Source organism: Homo sapiens, chromosome 11 (assembly GCF_000001405.40).
Source record: "Homo sapiens chromosome 11, GRCh38.p14 Primary Assembly".
Classification (NCBI taxonomy): domain Eukaryota; kingdom Metazoa; phylum Chordata; class Mammalia; order Primates; family Hominidae; genus Homo; species Homo sapiens.
In genome coordinates, this window is record NC_000011.10 from 59199021 (window position 1) to 59215983 (window position 16963).

The following is a 16963-nucleotide window of genomic DNA, read 5'->3' on the forward strand; positions in this document are numbered from 1 at the left end:
GTTGAAATGCTGTTAGAAGATTTTTAGTCCTGACTATCCCAATTCCTATTGTTAAAGAAGAAAACAAACAAAAACCCATGAGGACAAAGGAGAAAATCCACAAGAATCATTCAGAAAATTCTGTTGGCATGGCTCATAGCTTGGAGGCACTTTCTTTATTCTGAGTAGTTAAAAATCCAGAGTGTGCCTCAGGAAACCTGGGCTTCAATTTTAGCAGAGCCACTAATATTACAGAAGCCACATATCTTCTCTGCACTGCAGATTTCTTCTTTTGTAAGACAATAGATGATGAAGATGATGGACAATGATGTTAAACATTTACTGAGCTCTTACTACTCATCAGGCACCACTCACTTAACATTTATAACAGCCCCATAAGGGAAGGACTCTGCGTCATTCCTGTTAGAGAGATGGGGAACAAAAGCCCCAAGAGAGGGTTCCAGCTAATGCAGTGGGAGGTAGCAGCTCTGCATCCAAACCCAGGTCTAAGGACACAGAAACACGTGCTAAATGACCACTCACAGTGCTTTTTGGGTCTGTTCTCTGTTGAAGCTTTATGGGAATTATTATTGTCATTATTATTGAAATTAGTCACAGCCTAACCCCGCTCTTATCAGAAATATTTTGAAAAATGCCATTTGCTTGCTTGCTTTCTGCTTTCAGGGACCGGAACACCCGAATCCTGGGAAGAGTTTCAGCGCCCGAGGCTTCCCACGACACTGTTACCTTCCGGACAGCGAGAAAGGGAGAAAAGTAAGACCGGAAGTTTCCACATAGAACTAGGTTTTAGAATAGATCGGGCAGTTTACTTCTATGTCAAGGCCTAAAGTTTTGCTTCTTACAATGCACAGACCAAAGAGAACTGTGTCTCTTTTAAGTCTAGATGCACACAGTAACAAGGTCAAATTTGAGTCAACCATAGGTGGGGTGGCTACGATTAGAATTAGGTGGGTGGGAGTGGACATTTAGTTTGTGTATTAGCCTGTTCTCACGCTGCTAATAAAGACATAAATGAAACTGGGTAATTTATGAAGGAAAGAGGTTTAATTGACTCTCAGTTCCACGTGGCTGGGAAGTCCCCACAATCATGGCAGAAGATGAAAGGCAACTCTTATATGGTGGCAGTCAAGAAAGAATGAGAGCCAAGTGAAAGGGGAAACCCCTTATAAAACCATCAGATCTTGTGACACTTATTCACTACCATGAGAACAGTATAGGGGAAACTGCCCCCATGATTCAGTTATCTCCCACTGGGTCCCTCCCACAGCATGTGGGAATTATGGGAACTACAATTCAAGATGAGGTTTGGGTGGGGACACAGCCAAACCATGTCAGTTTGTTTCCTCTCTCGGGTATTAGTGGCAATAATTCATCTATTTTAAGATCCTGTGTCTAGAGCCCTGCTGCTTAAACGCTGGTCCTGGGACCAGCGCCAGTGGCACCACATAGGAGCTTGATAGAAATGCAGAACCAGAAGCCACTTCATCTTAACGAGATGCGTAGCTGATCTGACAACACATTGAAGCTGGAGAAACACTGGTCTGGGATAGGGATCTTAATATGTAGATTATTTTCTTTGTATGTACTTTCATATTATTTGACTTTTTCCCAAAAGGGCAGAGAAAACAATCATTGGGTTTCTGGATTCCTAGTGATTCATGATTAGGCTTCAGTGGTTCTATGAACTCTAAAATTAGAATAAAAAATTTATGTTTGTATTTCTATGGATGAGGCCAGAAAATCATTGGATTTTCAAAATCTTTCCCGATCTCAAAAGGAGTAGGAACCATTGATCTAAAGGGAGTATTGGGGGGAATATTAGACAAGATATATTTTAGTGAGCTTTCTCTCCAAATTTCCGCTGCTTACTTCAACAAGTATTTATTCGTCATGCACTTTGCTTGTCAGCAGCTATGGCTATGCTGTTGCTGTGGGTCAGTGTCTTAGTCTGTTCTGGCTGCTGTAACACAGTGCCATAGACGGGGTGCCTTATAAACAATAGACACTTATGTCTCACAATTCTGGAACCTGAGAAGTCCAAGATCAAGGCACAGGCGGGTTTAGTGTCTGGCTAGGACTTGTTCATATGAACCCATCCTGGTTTGTAAATGGTGCCTTCTCACTGTGTCCCCACATGGTAGAAGGGGCAAGGGGTTTCTCTGGGGCCTCTTTTATAAGGGCACTAATGTCATCCATTAGGGTTCTGCTGTCATTACCTAATCACCTCTCCAAGGACCCACCTTCTAATACTGTCACCTTGGGGGTGAGGATTTCAACATAGCAATTTCGTGAGGACACATATTCAGACCATAGCAGCAGCTTCAGTCGGCTCCACGTGTCTTCCTGTTCTGCAGGCCAGGTGGAAGGAGCAGCCCTCCTGTGGCCCATGCCCTTCCCATGGAAGGGGGCAGAGGACAAACAGAGAACCCAAGCGGAAGTGTGTAATCCCATTTAGAGCCCCTGGATGCTTGTTACTTCCACTCACCCTTCACAGGCCCCAACAAGTCCTGGGCAAGCCAGATAAGGGGTGGGACAGTGACCTTTCTACAGGGAGGCACTTTGGGTTTCATGTCAAAGGGTATGGATATGGTCTCCCCCTACAGGTGGCAGGCAGGTATTTTGGAAGAAATAGAAAATCAACCACACTGAGAAGATGTGCGAGTGCAGTGTCCCCAGATTAGGGGTCAGGACCATCCCTGATACTGTTTACCTTGAAGAGCCAGATTTCTGTGCTTGAGCCCTGGAGCTACATCCCAACTGTTGGCGAAATGCCTCCACTGTAAAGTCCTGCGGTTAAAACTAGAATCCTGTTGCCAAGAGCTGCTTTTCTTCCAGGCCTCCCTCTTTATGTTAATGACATATTCAGAGTCCCTGGTACCCAGATGGGCACATTAACCTTCTTGGACTCCTGTTCTTATCCACTGCATCCATTTAGCTCATTCCTCCCTGCACTCACTGCCTTCCAAACCACTAGACTCCTCTTCTAACCCTGCCACTGCCAACATAGATAAGACTTCATCTTTTACCTGCTACCAGGTTAGTTTCAAACAGTTTCTAGAATCAAGCTTTTTGTGTGTAAAAGAAATAAAATGAAGAAACAACAAAGTGCACTCTTCTCAGCTTGACATATAAGACCTACTACAGTGTGAGTTAAACCTTCTCCTCACACCAATTTCTCATCCTTATCCTTCACATTTGCTGTTCCAGGACCCTAACCTTGGGCTTCCTTGTAGATTGAAGTATAATTAGAGGATGGGCTTTGAAGCCAGACCAGCCTGGGTTCAAGTCCCATTTCTGCCATTTACTAGCTGTGGGAACTGGTTGGCTTCATGTCTTGAAGTCTCAGTTTCCTAATCTGTAAAATAGTGGTGATGATTTGCATCTGTATGGACAGGATGTTGGAAAAATTAAATGAAAATATCATTTGTAAAATGCACAGCATAGTGACAGCAATTGTAATTTATCCATGCCTTGGGTTTATATTTGTTTACTATGTCTATACATCCTTCTCTATTGATATGCCCCCAAATCCTTCCCTTCCTTTACTACTCAGCTCAGAAGCAACCTCCATGAATTCTAGACTGATTCCCATCTGAGAGTCAACAGAGTGGTGATTCAGACCATGGGCTATGGAGTCAGGCAGTCCTGAAATCAATCCCTTAACCCCACCGCCCCTAGCCACTTACTAGCTATAAGACCAAGGCAAGTCTTTTACCTTTTGAGCCTCTGTTTCCTTGAGAGGGATGATGAGAGTCCAGTTTTCTGTCATTTAATGACAGGGATATCATTATTATTAGACAGCTTCATCATCATACAAACATCGCAGAGTGTACTTACACAAAACTAGATGGAATAGCCTATTACACAGCTAGGCAATATGGTATAGCCTATTGCTTCTAGGCTACAAACCTGTACACCATGTTATTTTATTGAATACTATAAGTAGTTGTATAATGGTAAGTATTTGTGAATCTAAACATTGAAGAGGTACAGTAAAAATACAGTATAAAAGATAAAAGTGGTATATCTGTATAAGGCACTTACCACGAATGGTACTTGCAGGACTGGAAGTAGTTTTGGGTGAATCTGTGAGTGAATGTGAAGGCCTAGGACATTGCTGTGCACTACTAAAGACTTTATAAACACTGTACACTTAAACTACACTAAATTTATTAAAACTACTTTTCTTTCTTCAATCATAAACTAACCTTAGCTTATTGTGACTTCTCCATTTAAAAACCTTTTAACTTTTTTCACTTTTCACCTGTTTGTAACAACACAGCTTAAAACACAAACACATTGTACAGCTGTAGAAAAATATTTTCTTTAATCCTTATTCTATAAGCTTGTTTATTTTTAAAAACTTTTTTTTTTTTTACTTCTGAAACTTTTTGTTTAAAATGAACACACGAACATATACCTTAGCCTTGACCTACTAAGGGCAGAATCATCAGCATCACTGTCTTCCACATCCATATCTTATCCTGCTGGAAGGCCCTGGGGACAATAACAGGAGTGGAACTGTCATCTCTTATGATAACAATGCCTTCTTCTGGAATACCTTCTGAAGAAACTGCCTGAGGCTGTTTTACAGTTAACTTTTCTTTTCGTAAATAAGTAGGAGTGCACTCTACAATAATGATTAAAAGTACAGTATAGTAAGTACAGGGCAATAGGAATTTCTCAGCTCTATTGTAATCTTGTGAGATCACCATTGCATATGTGTTCAGTCATTGACCAAAATGTCACTATGTGTGGCACATGGGCATACCTATATCATCTGATTACTGTAACGATTATATGTCCCAATGCCCAACACTGAGAAAGTAAACACTCAGGAAATAGCAGCTCATATTTCTAATGTCTGCTTTCATTACTAATACTATTATGGTTTCCTCTCCTCCAGCCCATACCATGTTTACAGTAGTTCAGTTTTCAACCCAAGACATTTTCACTGGATGCTTTTTCTTCATGCTGGACACTACTCTGACCAAGGCCTGGAACAGGGCATTAGCCACTAGTCTTGCTCAACAAACATTTTTTTTTTAATTTAACTGATTTAGAACATTCTGCAAGCCCCAAAACTTTCTTTGAGCCTCAGTTTTCTCACCTCGAGAAAGTCAGAGTGCTCCAAGATGTCACTAGAAAAATAGTGCACAGCTTCAGCTTTGGATAAATTAATACTACATTGAGGTAGTGGTGGCAGTAATGAAGGGCAGAACTTCAGAAGTTCTCAGATCATAAGCGCCTTCAACTCCTAGATCCTGTCTTTCAAAATGCAGCCGTTATGTTGGCAGATAACATTTATCAATTAGTGCGTTGTAGGCACTGGTGTGAAAATACTTTTCATGGAGTGTCCAGTAAGATGTTCACAACGTTTAGAGGCAGATTGTACCATTGCCATTTCATAAAAAAATTAATGTTCAGAGAGGTGCTATAACTTCTCCAAGGTCACACAGTTATTCAGTGACAGAGCCAGGACTCAGCCTGTAGCTCCCAAACTCCAAGTCCAAATCTCTTTCTTTCCCCTGGGCTGCTTAGGGTATCATGATGCAGGAAGGGATGGGGCCCTTGGGAGGATTCTCTACCGTCCAAGGGATAGTCTTTGACTGCCAATTAATGTCTGCCTTTCATGTCCCACTTTTATCCCTCTAGGTTCTGAAGCTGCTGCTCGTGGCCTGGGATCGCCGCCTCATTTTTGCCATTGGCACCTCCAGCACCACAGGCGAGTCAGACACCGTCATCTGGAATGAGGTCCACCACAAGACAGAGTTTGGCTCTAATCTCACTGGCCATGGCTACCCAGATGCCAATTACCTGGATAATGTGCTGGCTGAACTGGCTGCCCAGGGCATCTCTGAGGACAGCACTGCCCAGGAGAAGGACTGAGGCCAGAAAAGCTTTGAGGTGGGAGGGGCCATGGAGACTGCAGGACAGGAAGTGAGGAGAGTGAGTCAATGTAGAAGAAGTTGGTGTCCTGCCCTCCCAACTTTCTATCCTCCCCTCCTGCCCTGTGTCCATCCCTCATCCCTCCCAACCACAGTGGGAGCCAGACTGAATATAGCGACATCATTCATAAATCTCATCCAACACAAAGGGAGATGGGATGAGGGCCATCCTGGGTCTGTTCCCATGGAGTTTTTGGTGCTGGGTAGGCAGGAATCCCCTCCCTACCCCACCTCCCAAGTAGGGGCATGGTCAGCACACCTAGGGTATGGGCAGTGCTTAGGCACTCCATATCCTGGCTTTGGGAAGCCGGGGTTTCTTGCCTCAGCCGGCTTCTTGCTACTTCCACTCTGCTTTGAGACTGGAGTTTCTGCTATTCTCCCTCTGCTGGAGGCAGGGAGCTCTCACTGTGCAAGGTTGGGGGGTGGGCAAAGGGGTGAATCACTAAACTGCTGTGACATCAGAAACTGATGCCTTGGTGTAGAGCAAGGAAGCACTTCTTCCCAAGAGGGTCGGAGAAGGAAAAGCCTCTGGGAGCACATTCTGCTGTCATCACAGTCCTTGGCTTCTCTGGGCCCTCCTCTCCTCCTCACAGCTCTCACCTGTCCAAAGAGGCATCTGGTTCTCTCATGTGGATGGATGGACTCTGGGGTTCCTCTTTGGAGTGGCATCCCATGATGCTGTTTCTAGACCCTCTCTGATCAAACCAGAGCCTGCATCCCACTGAGCATCTGAACTGTCCTCAGGGAGAGGAGCCCACAGCCTTCTTCCCAACTCATTCTAGACCAGCTCAAAGATTCCATGAGTTTCATCGAGTCACTGTGAGTGGAGCCCATGCTGGGCTCTGTGCCCTCTGTGTCTGTGCATGCGCGTGTGTGTGTGGGCGTGTGTGCATTGCTGGGCCAGCTTGAAGGGAAGGCCCGTCATGTCCCTGCACTCTGTTTTGCAAGATGCCAAACCCCAGTTCTGATGGGGCTCCAACAGCCAGGCTGTGGTCCTTTGACGTTCCTCACCTGTTGCCAACCTATCCCGTAGTGAACTGAAACCCCAATGAAGACAGAACTGTGCCTGGGGAGATGCAATGAGGTGAGGGCTGAACTCATCCTTTTATATTTCTTTTCAAGATTGGATCAGAGCTCATCTCCATCCAGTCTTGTTTCTATGAAGGCTTCAATCTGTTTCCATGCAAATTTGCTAATCAGAGCCCAGAGCTGCTGGGTCCCTCATCTCCCTCATCTATTATAGATTGACTTACAGCAGGGAGAGAATCTCTTTAGCTCATTCCTAATGGAGTTGGGATCACAATATGGTCTGGTCCAATCTGCATCTTGTTGTGTCCCAAGACCCTATCTCCTCCCCAACATTCTTATTGCCTTTGGCTCCCAGTAAGGAACGAATTGGGGGCCAGGGAGGAGAACAGGGGGGATCAAGAAGGGAAACCCAATTCCCCCTTTGAAAGTGGGTTCTTTGAACTATGTGTTTGGGGGAAGTTCCTCTGGATACTAATTTGAATTTATATACCTCATGTTTTGGGGGTTTGACGTATATATATATATATATATATGCATATATATTTCATAATATTTGGAAGGTTTTTGATGCTAGAAAAATGGAAACAAGAGAACCTTCAAAAATGGTACTTAGATGGGAACTGGAGGCCAATCTTTCATAAAGCCAGCCCCATAGCTGCTTGCTGTTAGGCCTCCAGCCATTTTGACATTGGGGTGGATAGTCGATTCACCTGCCTGTCAGTCGATTCACCTGCCTGTCACCCAGTTCTGTGGATGTGCTGGTGCTGAGCCTTTGCTCTCTTTCCAAATGGTTACAGGGATGTTGATCAGCTCCACCAGAGGGAGCTCTGATGGGAGGAATTGCTCTGCCATCCTTGTCCCTGTGTCTCCTGTCGGCAGGCAGCCATTGTATCTCACCAGCAGACCAGGAGACTGGTCCCAAGGTTACTGCACCACAGGGCAATTTCCTGCCATAGTTAGGAAGGAAACACCTGAACTAAATGGAAGAGACATCCCTGCGGTGTTTAATATCACACCCATGCCCTTTGTCAGGTTACCATGTACAGAGATTACTTGGAGAGCCTCATGCCGTCTCTACCTTCGCACACTGGTCAAGTATCTGCTGAGCTTCTTGGCCGCAAGGATGCAGAAATAGGCTGAGGGTCCATGGGAAGAAAGACACAATGAGGCAGTAGGAGGTGGGGAAGAAAAGAAGACAGACTTTCAAAATGGAATTAGGCACTGGGGAGAGATCAGTTTCCCCACATCAGGGAGAAGAAGGTATAGGTGGGGAAGGGGGTGGCCAGGAGCAGAAGGAAGAAGACTCAAGATGGAAAGGGAGCCGCTGTGCCTGTGGCAATACCACTTGGAGAGGTCGACTTCATACCTTCAAGCCTTTTCCCCTGGGCTTTTGATTGTGTCTGTGCCCCCTTTCTTGTCCTCTCTGCAGATGCCCAGTAGGGGCTACCTCATCCTCGTGCTGTTCTTGTGTGGCTTTCTGGGCAGTAGGGATCTTGAATTTCCTTTCTAACACTGTGCCCGGCAAGGCGGGGAGCATTCCTCTGCCCTTTGTCTTGTGCCAACCTGGAAAGGTGCAGTCTAGATTTCAGTGAGAACCCTGCCAGCTGAGCCCTGTGCATCTACTACCTTGACACAGAGTGTTTTCCCACTAGAAGCTCTGCTCTGCTCTCCTGGCCCAAGTAGGGGATTCCATGCCTTCCCTTTCATGGTCTTAGCACCAGCAGCCTAGTTTCTCCCTTCCAGAGTCTCCAGGGATGACAAATTGGATTGGAGACAAACCTCGTCAGATGCTCATCCCCTAAAAGGTTAATTGTGTATTTGTGGCTGCGTGTGCCTTTGTGTTTTCATTCTCTTCCCATTTTTGTACATTTTGGTCTTCTCTGTGGTTTTATACTTGGTCAAAAGTACTCGTCTTGGTATTGCACTGTTGTGTGCATGAGAAAACTGGGGGAAGGCTCACTGGTACAAGAAAGGACCCCTGACCCCTTTCCTTCTCTGTGGTCCCCGGCATTAGATTGGGGGTTCTGGGAGAGGCAGGTGAATGTCCTAAGTGAATTGTTCTGTTTGTAACTGGAATGTTTTTGAAGTCTTTGGTGTTGCTCCGTGAAAGGACATCGCCACCTGGTGCTCATGAGGTGTCTTTGCAGAACAATAAATGGCAAATGAACAACCACAAAATTGTTACTCTTGTTGGCCTTCTGCTGTTTGTAGATTAGTGCACCTATCTGTGAGGGATTTGGGTTACCTCCCTGAGTCTGTAAGCAACCACAAGCCCTGCCACTGGGTGGGGGAAGTCCCTCCCCAACCACTTAAAAACAAATTTTCCACATATTACCCACCCACACATTTGACCTGGCTAGACTTTGTTTGCCTAAAGGAACAGACCACATTGCTGGGAAAATGAGTAAGTGAACGTGTGGGAGAAAAACACTTTTAGAATCACGAATATTCACTTTTAAAGGTCTCTTTGCCTGGCTGCAATATAGTGTGTGTTTAAATTATTTACAGGCTGTTGTTTCTCAAATAAATGTTTAATATTAATCATTCCCAAACTGACAAGAACACAAAAATAAAATGCAAATACAGAGCCAGCTTTGTCACCCAAATCTGTGTCTATTTCTGATAGTCCATGGAATGTGGTTTTCTTGGAAGCCAGGGTTGGTCTCCCCACAGACCCCAGGCTAAGGTCACCAGTTAGGAACCCAGGACTTGGAAGGCAGAGCCTGTGAGCTCTTCCATCAGGGATCTGACTCCGCAAAACGACTTGATGAATGCAATTGGCAAACTCCCATGTTCGGACTTCATATGCATGAGCCGTTGGACAGAGGGTTTCTTAGTATATACTTTAATGCATGTTTATGTGCAATCTTGTTAGTGGGTATACAAGTTTGTGAAGAACTTCTCATTTCAATAGGCAGTTAATGTAATGCATTAAAAGCCTGGGAATTTGGGGCTATATTTTTCCTTTCTGACTCAATAATCTTCAAAGAATTCATAGGAAAGTCAGTACTTGCAGACAAGTGGTTAGCTTGGCTAAAATGTACAAAACACCCAGAACCCACAAAACACTCAGAGGTTTAGGAGAATGTTTTAATGCTTAAGAGGCAGGATCAAGTGAAGAGGTTACAGAAATCAGTGTCTCTGGCTGGGCAGTCAAGAGAGCGGGCTCAAATTCTGTGACTCACTTCTCTGTGTCTCGGTTGGAAATGAATGGGTATCCTGGTTCCCACCTTCCCACACACTGTGATACTTCAAACTCCTTGGGTGAAGGGCCTCTTCTCAGCCCAAGATCTTGATTGTGAACATTAACAAAGAGAACAGTCATCCTCCACAGAAGATAACTCATTAATGACATTTGATTCAGTGAATAAATATATCATTTAAAAAAATATTGTAGGGGGATCATGAAAGTAGTGGAGGTAATTACAATCAGGAGAGATTGGTATTAAAATTGAGCAAAGTCCCAACTCTCACCAGATGACAATTATGCATCCTGCTAGATGCCCCAGGGCTGTCAGCCTGGAACTGAAATAAATGTGTTATAAGTGGTGCTGGATGCCTTTTTCAGTTCATTTGAAAACATGGATTTGATCATGTCAGCTCCCTTTCTGCTGGAAAAAAAAGTAGTTTGCATAATTGGTGTTAACTACTCTGTTTTGATTCTACAGAGTAAGTAATACTCAAATGTGGTCTTACTTTAACTTCTTGCCTTTGTTACCCCCAGAACCATGCAGACATTGAAATGTGGTGTGCGTGTGTGTGTGTGTGTGTGTGTGTGTGTGTGTTCATATAACAGGAGGACAGGAAAGGTAAGGACCCAGAACAATGAAGACTTATTGAAATGTGGTATGTGTGTGCGTGTGTGTGTGTGTGTGTGTGTGTGTGTGTGTGTGTGTTCATATAACAGGAGGACAGGAAAGGTAATGACCATCCATGGAAGATGAAGGGGTAGTACTTAGCACCAGAATCTTTTCCAGTTTTTACCCATCTTTCATTACTCCTTGTCTCCAAATCATCCCTTCCTTAATAACTTAAAATAACTTAAAATATTTTCTGAGGACTTGATGACACCAGTCAGAAGTCCAAGAGTGGTCTGGTATAAGGGAGTGTTCATCAAGGGGCAGCTGGAAAAAGTGGAATTGGCACAGGCAACATCTTTCTTTTCAGATGTTTGAGGTCACCCAGAGGAGATAACAGTCTGTCAACATAGAGCCCTCAAAGTTAAAAAGCAGTAGCCAGGCAAGACTTGTGTCTTTTCAGGGCTCTTCCAGGCTCTAAGAGTGTGAAATTCAGACAGGTTTTTAAAAATCAAAATAAAAGGAGAGTAGTTCTTACAGGCAGAAACTCTTAGAGCTCACAAATTGGAAACAACTGCAAACTTCAGAGTAAATTCATAGCTTCCAAATACAAATGTTCACATTGTCCCTCCGCTATTTTTACACAAATGCATTCAGGTGAAGACAGCAACACACATTGGGAAAGGACATCTGCTTCCTATTTTAGTCCCAGAATCACTTTTGCTTCTAGTCCCAACTGTTCCCTCTCCCCAATCCCAACCTTATCCATGTAACAGTATGAATTTCCTGGCCCAGAGACCTAAACAAGAAGTCACGAATATACCTACTTTTGGTTGCACTTGCCATTTCAATGCTTAGGAAAACAGAGTGGTCAGCAATGACCACACTGGAGATGAGAGAAACCATTTTCGGGGAGAGATTTAAGCTGGACTCTGCCCCTGCTCTTGGTAAGTGGTGTCTCCAGTTGCTGCAGTGCCTGGAACCAAACTCTGCCTTTCCTCAATTGCCTGATATGCTTTCTTCTTGAACTTCCGGGTGCCGTAGATGGCCAAGGTGATAACAACAGCCAGAATGGTGGTGACCCCCACTGTGACCCCAGCTGCAGCCCCTCCTGACAGACCACCACCATCCCCATGGATGACATTCATGGCCCTCCGCAGCTCTATCGGTTCTCCCAGCCTCCACTGGTGGGTCTGGGAGTCTTTAATCCAGGATCTCGCATTCTCAGAATTGGTCACTATGACAGTATTGGTGGCAGCCTGACTCATGAGGGGTGGCCGGGTGAAAGGTGGGAGCCTGGCAGGGGGCAGGGACCCTCCTGTGAAGAGCCCGGATTTGACGCAATAGGACACTTGGCATCCATCGCTGATGAGGGCTGGGTGCTGGCTGAAGCCCCCGGGGCACTTTTTCAGAGACGGTGCCCCTAAATCTCTGGATATAGCAGGATCTACCAGGGGGTTCCCAACTGTGCAGCTAAAGAACCCGCCAAAGGGGACCGCAAACCTGCTTCCCAACTCATAGTCCTGAGAAACACATACCTTGAGGTTTTCAAAGAGTCTCAGTGGAAAGTAGCCGGCTGGGCATGACTGTGCATTTGTCATGGGGTTTATGCTCTTGCTGCTGAAGAGGCCCCCAAAAAGCAGTCCTGAGTTTTCAGGTACTTGGCTGCTGGCCACACACCAAAAAGCCCTAAATTCAGCTTTTGCCACCTGGAACACATCTTCACACACGGTCTTGCAGAAGACGAGGAGAGTGCACTTTCGATGACACTCCAGGTGGTTGTAACCCTCCTCGTGGATCTGGGATAACAGGTGCACCGGGGAGTAGCCAGAGGGGCAGGAGAAATCACCAGTGAGTGGATTCTTCTGCTCCAACTTTTGGCAGAGGAGGACATCCCTATTCCCTGAGAGCTGAGTGCATTCCTGATAAACCCCACCGAAAGAGAAGTTGGTCATTTTCCCCTCGCAGGAGCCATCATCCGTGTTGGCCTGAAAATTGAAGTTGGGAGAATTGAGATCTGTGCAGCCAGGGTAGGTGTTGAATGTATAATAGCGCTTCACAGCAGTTTCCACTGTCTTTGACACCTTCTTCACCAGGGGGCCTGGCAAGTCAGGTAGCATGTTGGGGTTGATGAAGAAATGCAGCGGCAGGCCAGAGCGGTCGATGGCCACCAGGTGGTTGGTGATACCCTGCTGCCAGGCCTGGAGGGTGATGCCTGGGTAAAAAGGAACCCCTCCAATGCTCTGCACCCTGGAGTTGGTTCGGTTTGAGAGGTAGCTCTTGGTGAGGACATTCTGCGAGGTATAGTTTTCCTCAAATTTGAAGTTCACGGTGTTTTGAAAGGCAAGTCCAGCAGAGGCGGTCACGGCACTACGACTGCTCTGGCTGTCTTGGAGGAAGGAGGCCCTGAGGTGGTCCTCCTGAATAAGAGCAGCCCCAGCGTCGACACTGGTGGTGACGTGGGTGCCATAGTTGAGCACCAGGAGTTCTGCCAGGTAGGTGGCCATCCTCGTCTGGTTGTTCTCTAGACGGTCAGAGATGTCAAGGAGTTCCTTCCTAAAACCTGAGCTTAGCTCTAAAGTTGGGTTGATTTTGACTGTGTAGACGAGGTTTCTTACCTGAACTCGGGTAGTTATAGCTTGGTCCTTCACTTGGAGGGTCTTCATCCTCTGGAACTCAGTGGAAAACTTGCCATTGACTTTGGAAAAAAGAGAGAGTTCTGTGTTGATGGAGTAGGAGGTGCTACTCTGGTAATTTGCCCAGGATTCCAGGATTTCTGAGTTCATCTCCAGGTTGCTCTGTTTCTGGGGAATGGTGAAGATTTCATCAGGGATGATATACTGTCCATCCTCTGTTGTCCTGCAGTTGGAGTAAGTCAATTCCATAACTCGTCCCATGTCCACATTCCGCAGATTGTCCCAGCCCCCTCCAGGTAGGACTTCCAGGACAGGTAGTTTCAAGGCATTCTTGCATTTTTGAACTCCAACTTCGTCCATCTCTCCCGAAGGCTTGCCTGATTTAGCCCATGCTGCCGCTGCCCAGAAGAGGATGGTGGCCCTGAAGTTGTTCATGGCTCAGACAGCCCCAGCCACTCACCAGCCCTACACAGCGGCCAGCAAGCTTTGGGCAAACTAAGATGGAGAAAACAGAAGCAGATGATGAAGCGGAAAACTCATGAGTTCTCTAAAAGCTACAAGTTCCTCTTTAAGCTAATTTAATGACAAAATGGGGAAACGAGAGTTGGTTGGAATATTAAAGACCATCAGGTCTTTGAAGAATTTATGCCGTACTAAACATGCAAACACACCCCTACATGCCTAACAGGTAGCTATCCTAATTTTTCCCCCAGCTCTGGCTGGTTACTCTGCTGCAGGGGTGTGCACTTAGAAAAAAATCCCGACCCCACACCCTACTGCTTCCTCCACCAGAAAGTTTGGCTTTGCTTTTTGCTCATTCTCTTGGACTTGATGTTTCATATTTTCCCTGACTGCTGTCTCTTGGGACTCCATTATCAGTTTTCTTTTACTATAAATGCAGAGGCAAATGACCACACCACCCTTACTGAAACACCCTGGCTCCACCATACCTATGCAAGCTGTTAGTCAAGGCCAACCCTGGGTTTCCTCTTTGCCTGAGGGTGGAGGCTGTTTCCACAAAAGAAAGGAGTGAAACTCTTGGACACTTGTCCTGTGGGTTTCACTGTTATGAACCATAGCAATTCTGTCTTTGGGGATGGCATTGTCTGGAGCACAGCTGACAGGGCCTGAAGAGGATTCGGTTGCAATATGCTGGGAAACCCCAATTTGCATTGTCCTAAGCATTCAAAGCGAGGGCAAGGAACTCCTACACTGTGTTGTTTTCATTCAGATAGAAATGTTCAAGACAAAACCACACTATTATCTAGATTTTGATTTATCAACAGCAGACAGGGGCCAAGGAACATATGTGTATGTGTACACACATTTATATATCCTCTGTGTGTGTGCATTTTGTATGAAGTTGGTACCTGTTATACCTTTAATTTTTTGTTCCATTGCTAAGTGTGTGTAATCAGTTTAGGTGGATAAAAAAGAATGTGGCTCTTCACTACCCAATATTTTTTCTAAAAGCAAAAATTCATTTGCTATATCATTAGAAGAATATAATTACATGAGTTTCTTTTCAAGTTCCAATGCCAGCTCTATTAGAGCCCATAATTTAAAACAATGGTGACAGGTTTGATTGAAACCCAACTCTGTTAATTCTTTGGGACAATTAGGCTATGTCTTAGTATGCTTAGTGGTAGCCAGGGAATCCAGAGGACTTAGTGAAGCTCCCAGTTGCATCCTTAACATTCCCAAGATTATACCATGAACTAGATACAGTACTGAGACTGAAAAAGTCATGTTGCAATTCACAGGTATCACTACACCATCACCTGTATGCATCCTGGAAGGAAGGTTCCAAGGAGTTGAATTCCTCTGTTGGTTATTAATGCAGCAAAGAAGTGTTTTTAGAAAGAATGAGGCTAGTTATCTTGCTTCCCAGGCTGGGCTTCACCAGTTATTATCAAAACCATGATGGTGTTCTATAAATCTAGAAATACTGCATTCCGGGTATATTTTTTTTTCCAAGACAGGGTCTTGCTTATTGCCCAGGCTTGAGTGCAGTAGCTATTCACAGGCATGGTCCCACTACTAATCAGCATAGGAGTTTTGACCTGCTCCATTTCCAACCTGGACCCGTTTAGCCCTCCTTAGGCAACCTGGTGATTTGCTCCAAGGAGGCCACCATATTGATGCTGAGCTTAGTGCAGACACCCAACTGGCATAGCACACTACAGCCCAGAACTCATGGATTCAAGCAATCCTCCCACATCAGCTTCCCAGGAATCTGGGACTGCAGTCATGCACCACCACACCTGGCCATTCTGGTTCTATTTGTGCCACAGTTATCATGCTTCTGGGAAGTGACACCAGCCACCTAAGAGGGATTAATTTATGAACCAGTGCCTAGTCTGTATTTGGCTAAAGAACCAAATCTTTGCACAGGATGTTCTAGTTAATTTATAAATCAGTTAGCCATAAATTTATACCTCAGCAGCATGATCCCAGAATTAGAAAAATGAGAGTTGAATGCCCTTGAGTACTTCCAATAAGTCTGTTGAAATACCTACATACTTCTCTTCAAACTATTTCTGGGATGGTTCATCAAAATTAGAATACTCTCACACTGCTTTGGAGACAAGCTGACAATTTGTTACCCTCTGCTTTCTCTTTAGTAGACCCTGTTGAGAGCTCACTCTCCTGAAATGAGAATACAAGCAAGGTTAATACAGACAATTCTATATTCAGGTGTTCCTATGTCTCCAGACGTCTAGTCACTGTATTTTTTATTCTATAGACTTTGTCTTCATTTTATCATAGGAAAAAAAAATTGAAAATAGCAGAAAGAGCCAACAACGGTAAAATTACATTGTACCCATAAGACAAAATATTGTATAGCCATCACAATTATTTAAAACTATTTTAATAACATGAGAAATTCTTATGCCATAATGTTACTGGAAAGGGTTCCCAATGCAGACCTCAAGAGAGAGTTCTTGGACTTTGTGCAAGAAGGACCAGGGCAAGTCCACAGAGTAAGGTGAAAGTAAGTTTATTAGAGAAGTAAAGAAACAAAAGAATGGCTACTCCATAGGCAGAGCAGAAGTATGTGCTGCTTGATTAAGGATACTTATCATTATTTCTTAATTATATGCTAAACAAGGGGTGGATTAATCATGAGTTTTCTGGGAAAGAGGTGGGCAATTCCCAGAACTAAGGGTTCCTCTCCTTTTTAGACTATACAGGGTAACTTCTGGAAATTGGCAGTCATGGCACTGGTGGAAACATCTTTTAGCATGCGAATGCACTACAATTAGTGTATAATGAACAATGAGGATGACCAGAGTTCACTCTTGTCGCCATCTTAGTTTTGGTGGGTTTTGGCTGCCTTCTTTACTGCATGCTCTTTTATCAGAAAGATCTTTGTGATCTGTATCTGTATCTTATGCCAATCTTCTATCTCATCCCATGACTTAGAATACTTAACCCTCTGGGAATGCAGCCCAGCCTTCTTTTACCCAGCCCCTATTCGAGATGGAGTTATTCTGGTTCAAATATCTCTGACAATAATGTTATGAAAAAAAAGAATGATAAACATTCAGCA

At 44.7% G+C, this 16963-nt stretch overlaps 2 protein-coding genes and 1 pseudogene across 3 annotated transcripts in view, besides 5 other annotated features; 1 reads left to right on the plus strand and 2 right to left on the minus strand.

Annotated features, from left to right (window-relative positions):
- The window catches only part of DTX4 (deltex E3 ubiquitin ligase 4), a 37159-nt gene extending 27591 nt beyond the window's left edge, over positions 1-9568 (plus strand). For both annotated transcript variants that reach the window (NM_001300727.2, NM_015177.2), the window contains exons 8-9: positions 664-753; positions 5656-9568. In NM_001300727.2, coding sequence (NP_001287656.1) covers positions 664-753; positions 5656-5889 — 324 coding nt within the window. In that variant the 3' untranslated portion in view covers positions 5890-9568. The remainder of the gene's footprint in view (positions 1-663; positions 754-5655) is intronic.
- Positions 1329-2528: an enhancer, noted in NCBI's record as "BRD4-independent group 4 enhancer chr11:58967822-58969021 (GRCh37/hg19 assembly coordinates)". NCBI's record gives its function as "activates an origin of replication core promoter dependent on BRD2, P300/CBP, MED14 and CDK7 cofactors, and independent of BRD4, by STARR-seq in HCT116 cells {active_cell/tissue: HCT116}" and the evidence as "EXISTENCE:reporter gene assay evidence [ECO:0000049][PMID:35650434]".
- Positions 1329-2633: a biological region, named in NCBI's record as "BRD4-independent group 4 enhancer GRCh37_chr11:58967822-58969021".
- Positions 2454-2633: an enhancer, noted in NCBI's record as "active region_4751". NCBI's record gives its function as "activates an Ori minimal core promoter by ATAC-STARR-seq in GM12878 lymphoblastoid cells {active_cell/tissue: GM12878}" and the evidence as "EXISTENCE:reporter gene assay evidence [ECO:0000049][PMID:35858748]".
- Positions 2654-2703: an enhancer, noted in NCBI's record as "active region_4752". NCBI's record gives its function as "activates an Ori minimal core promoter by ATAC-STARR-seq in GM12878 lymphoblastoid cells {active_cell/tissue: GM12878}" and the evidence as "EXISTENCE:reporter gene assay evidence [ECO:0000049][PMID:35858748]".
- On the minus strand, positions 9490-13907 carry MPEG1 (macrophage expressed 1). Its single transcript, NM_001039396.2, has one exon. It carries the CDS (start codon positions 13843-13845, stop codon positions 11695-11697), a length of 2151 nt encoding a protein of 716 aa, NP_001034485.1. The 5' UTR covers positions 13846-13907; the 3' UTR covers positions 9490-11694.
- Positions 13884-14083: an enhancer, noted in NCBI's record as "active region_4753". NCBI's record gives its function as "activates an Ori minimal core promoter by ATAC-STARR-seq in GM12878 lymphoblastoid cells {active_cell/tissue: GM12878}" and the evidence as "EXISTENCE:reporter gene assay evidence [ECO:0000049][PMID:35858748]".
- On the minus strand, positions 15386-15679 carry RN7SL42P (RNA, 7SL, cytoplasmic 42, pseudogene; annotated as a pseudogene).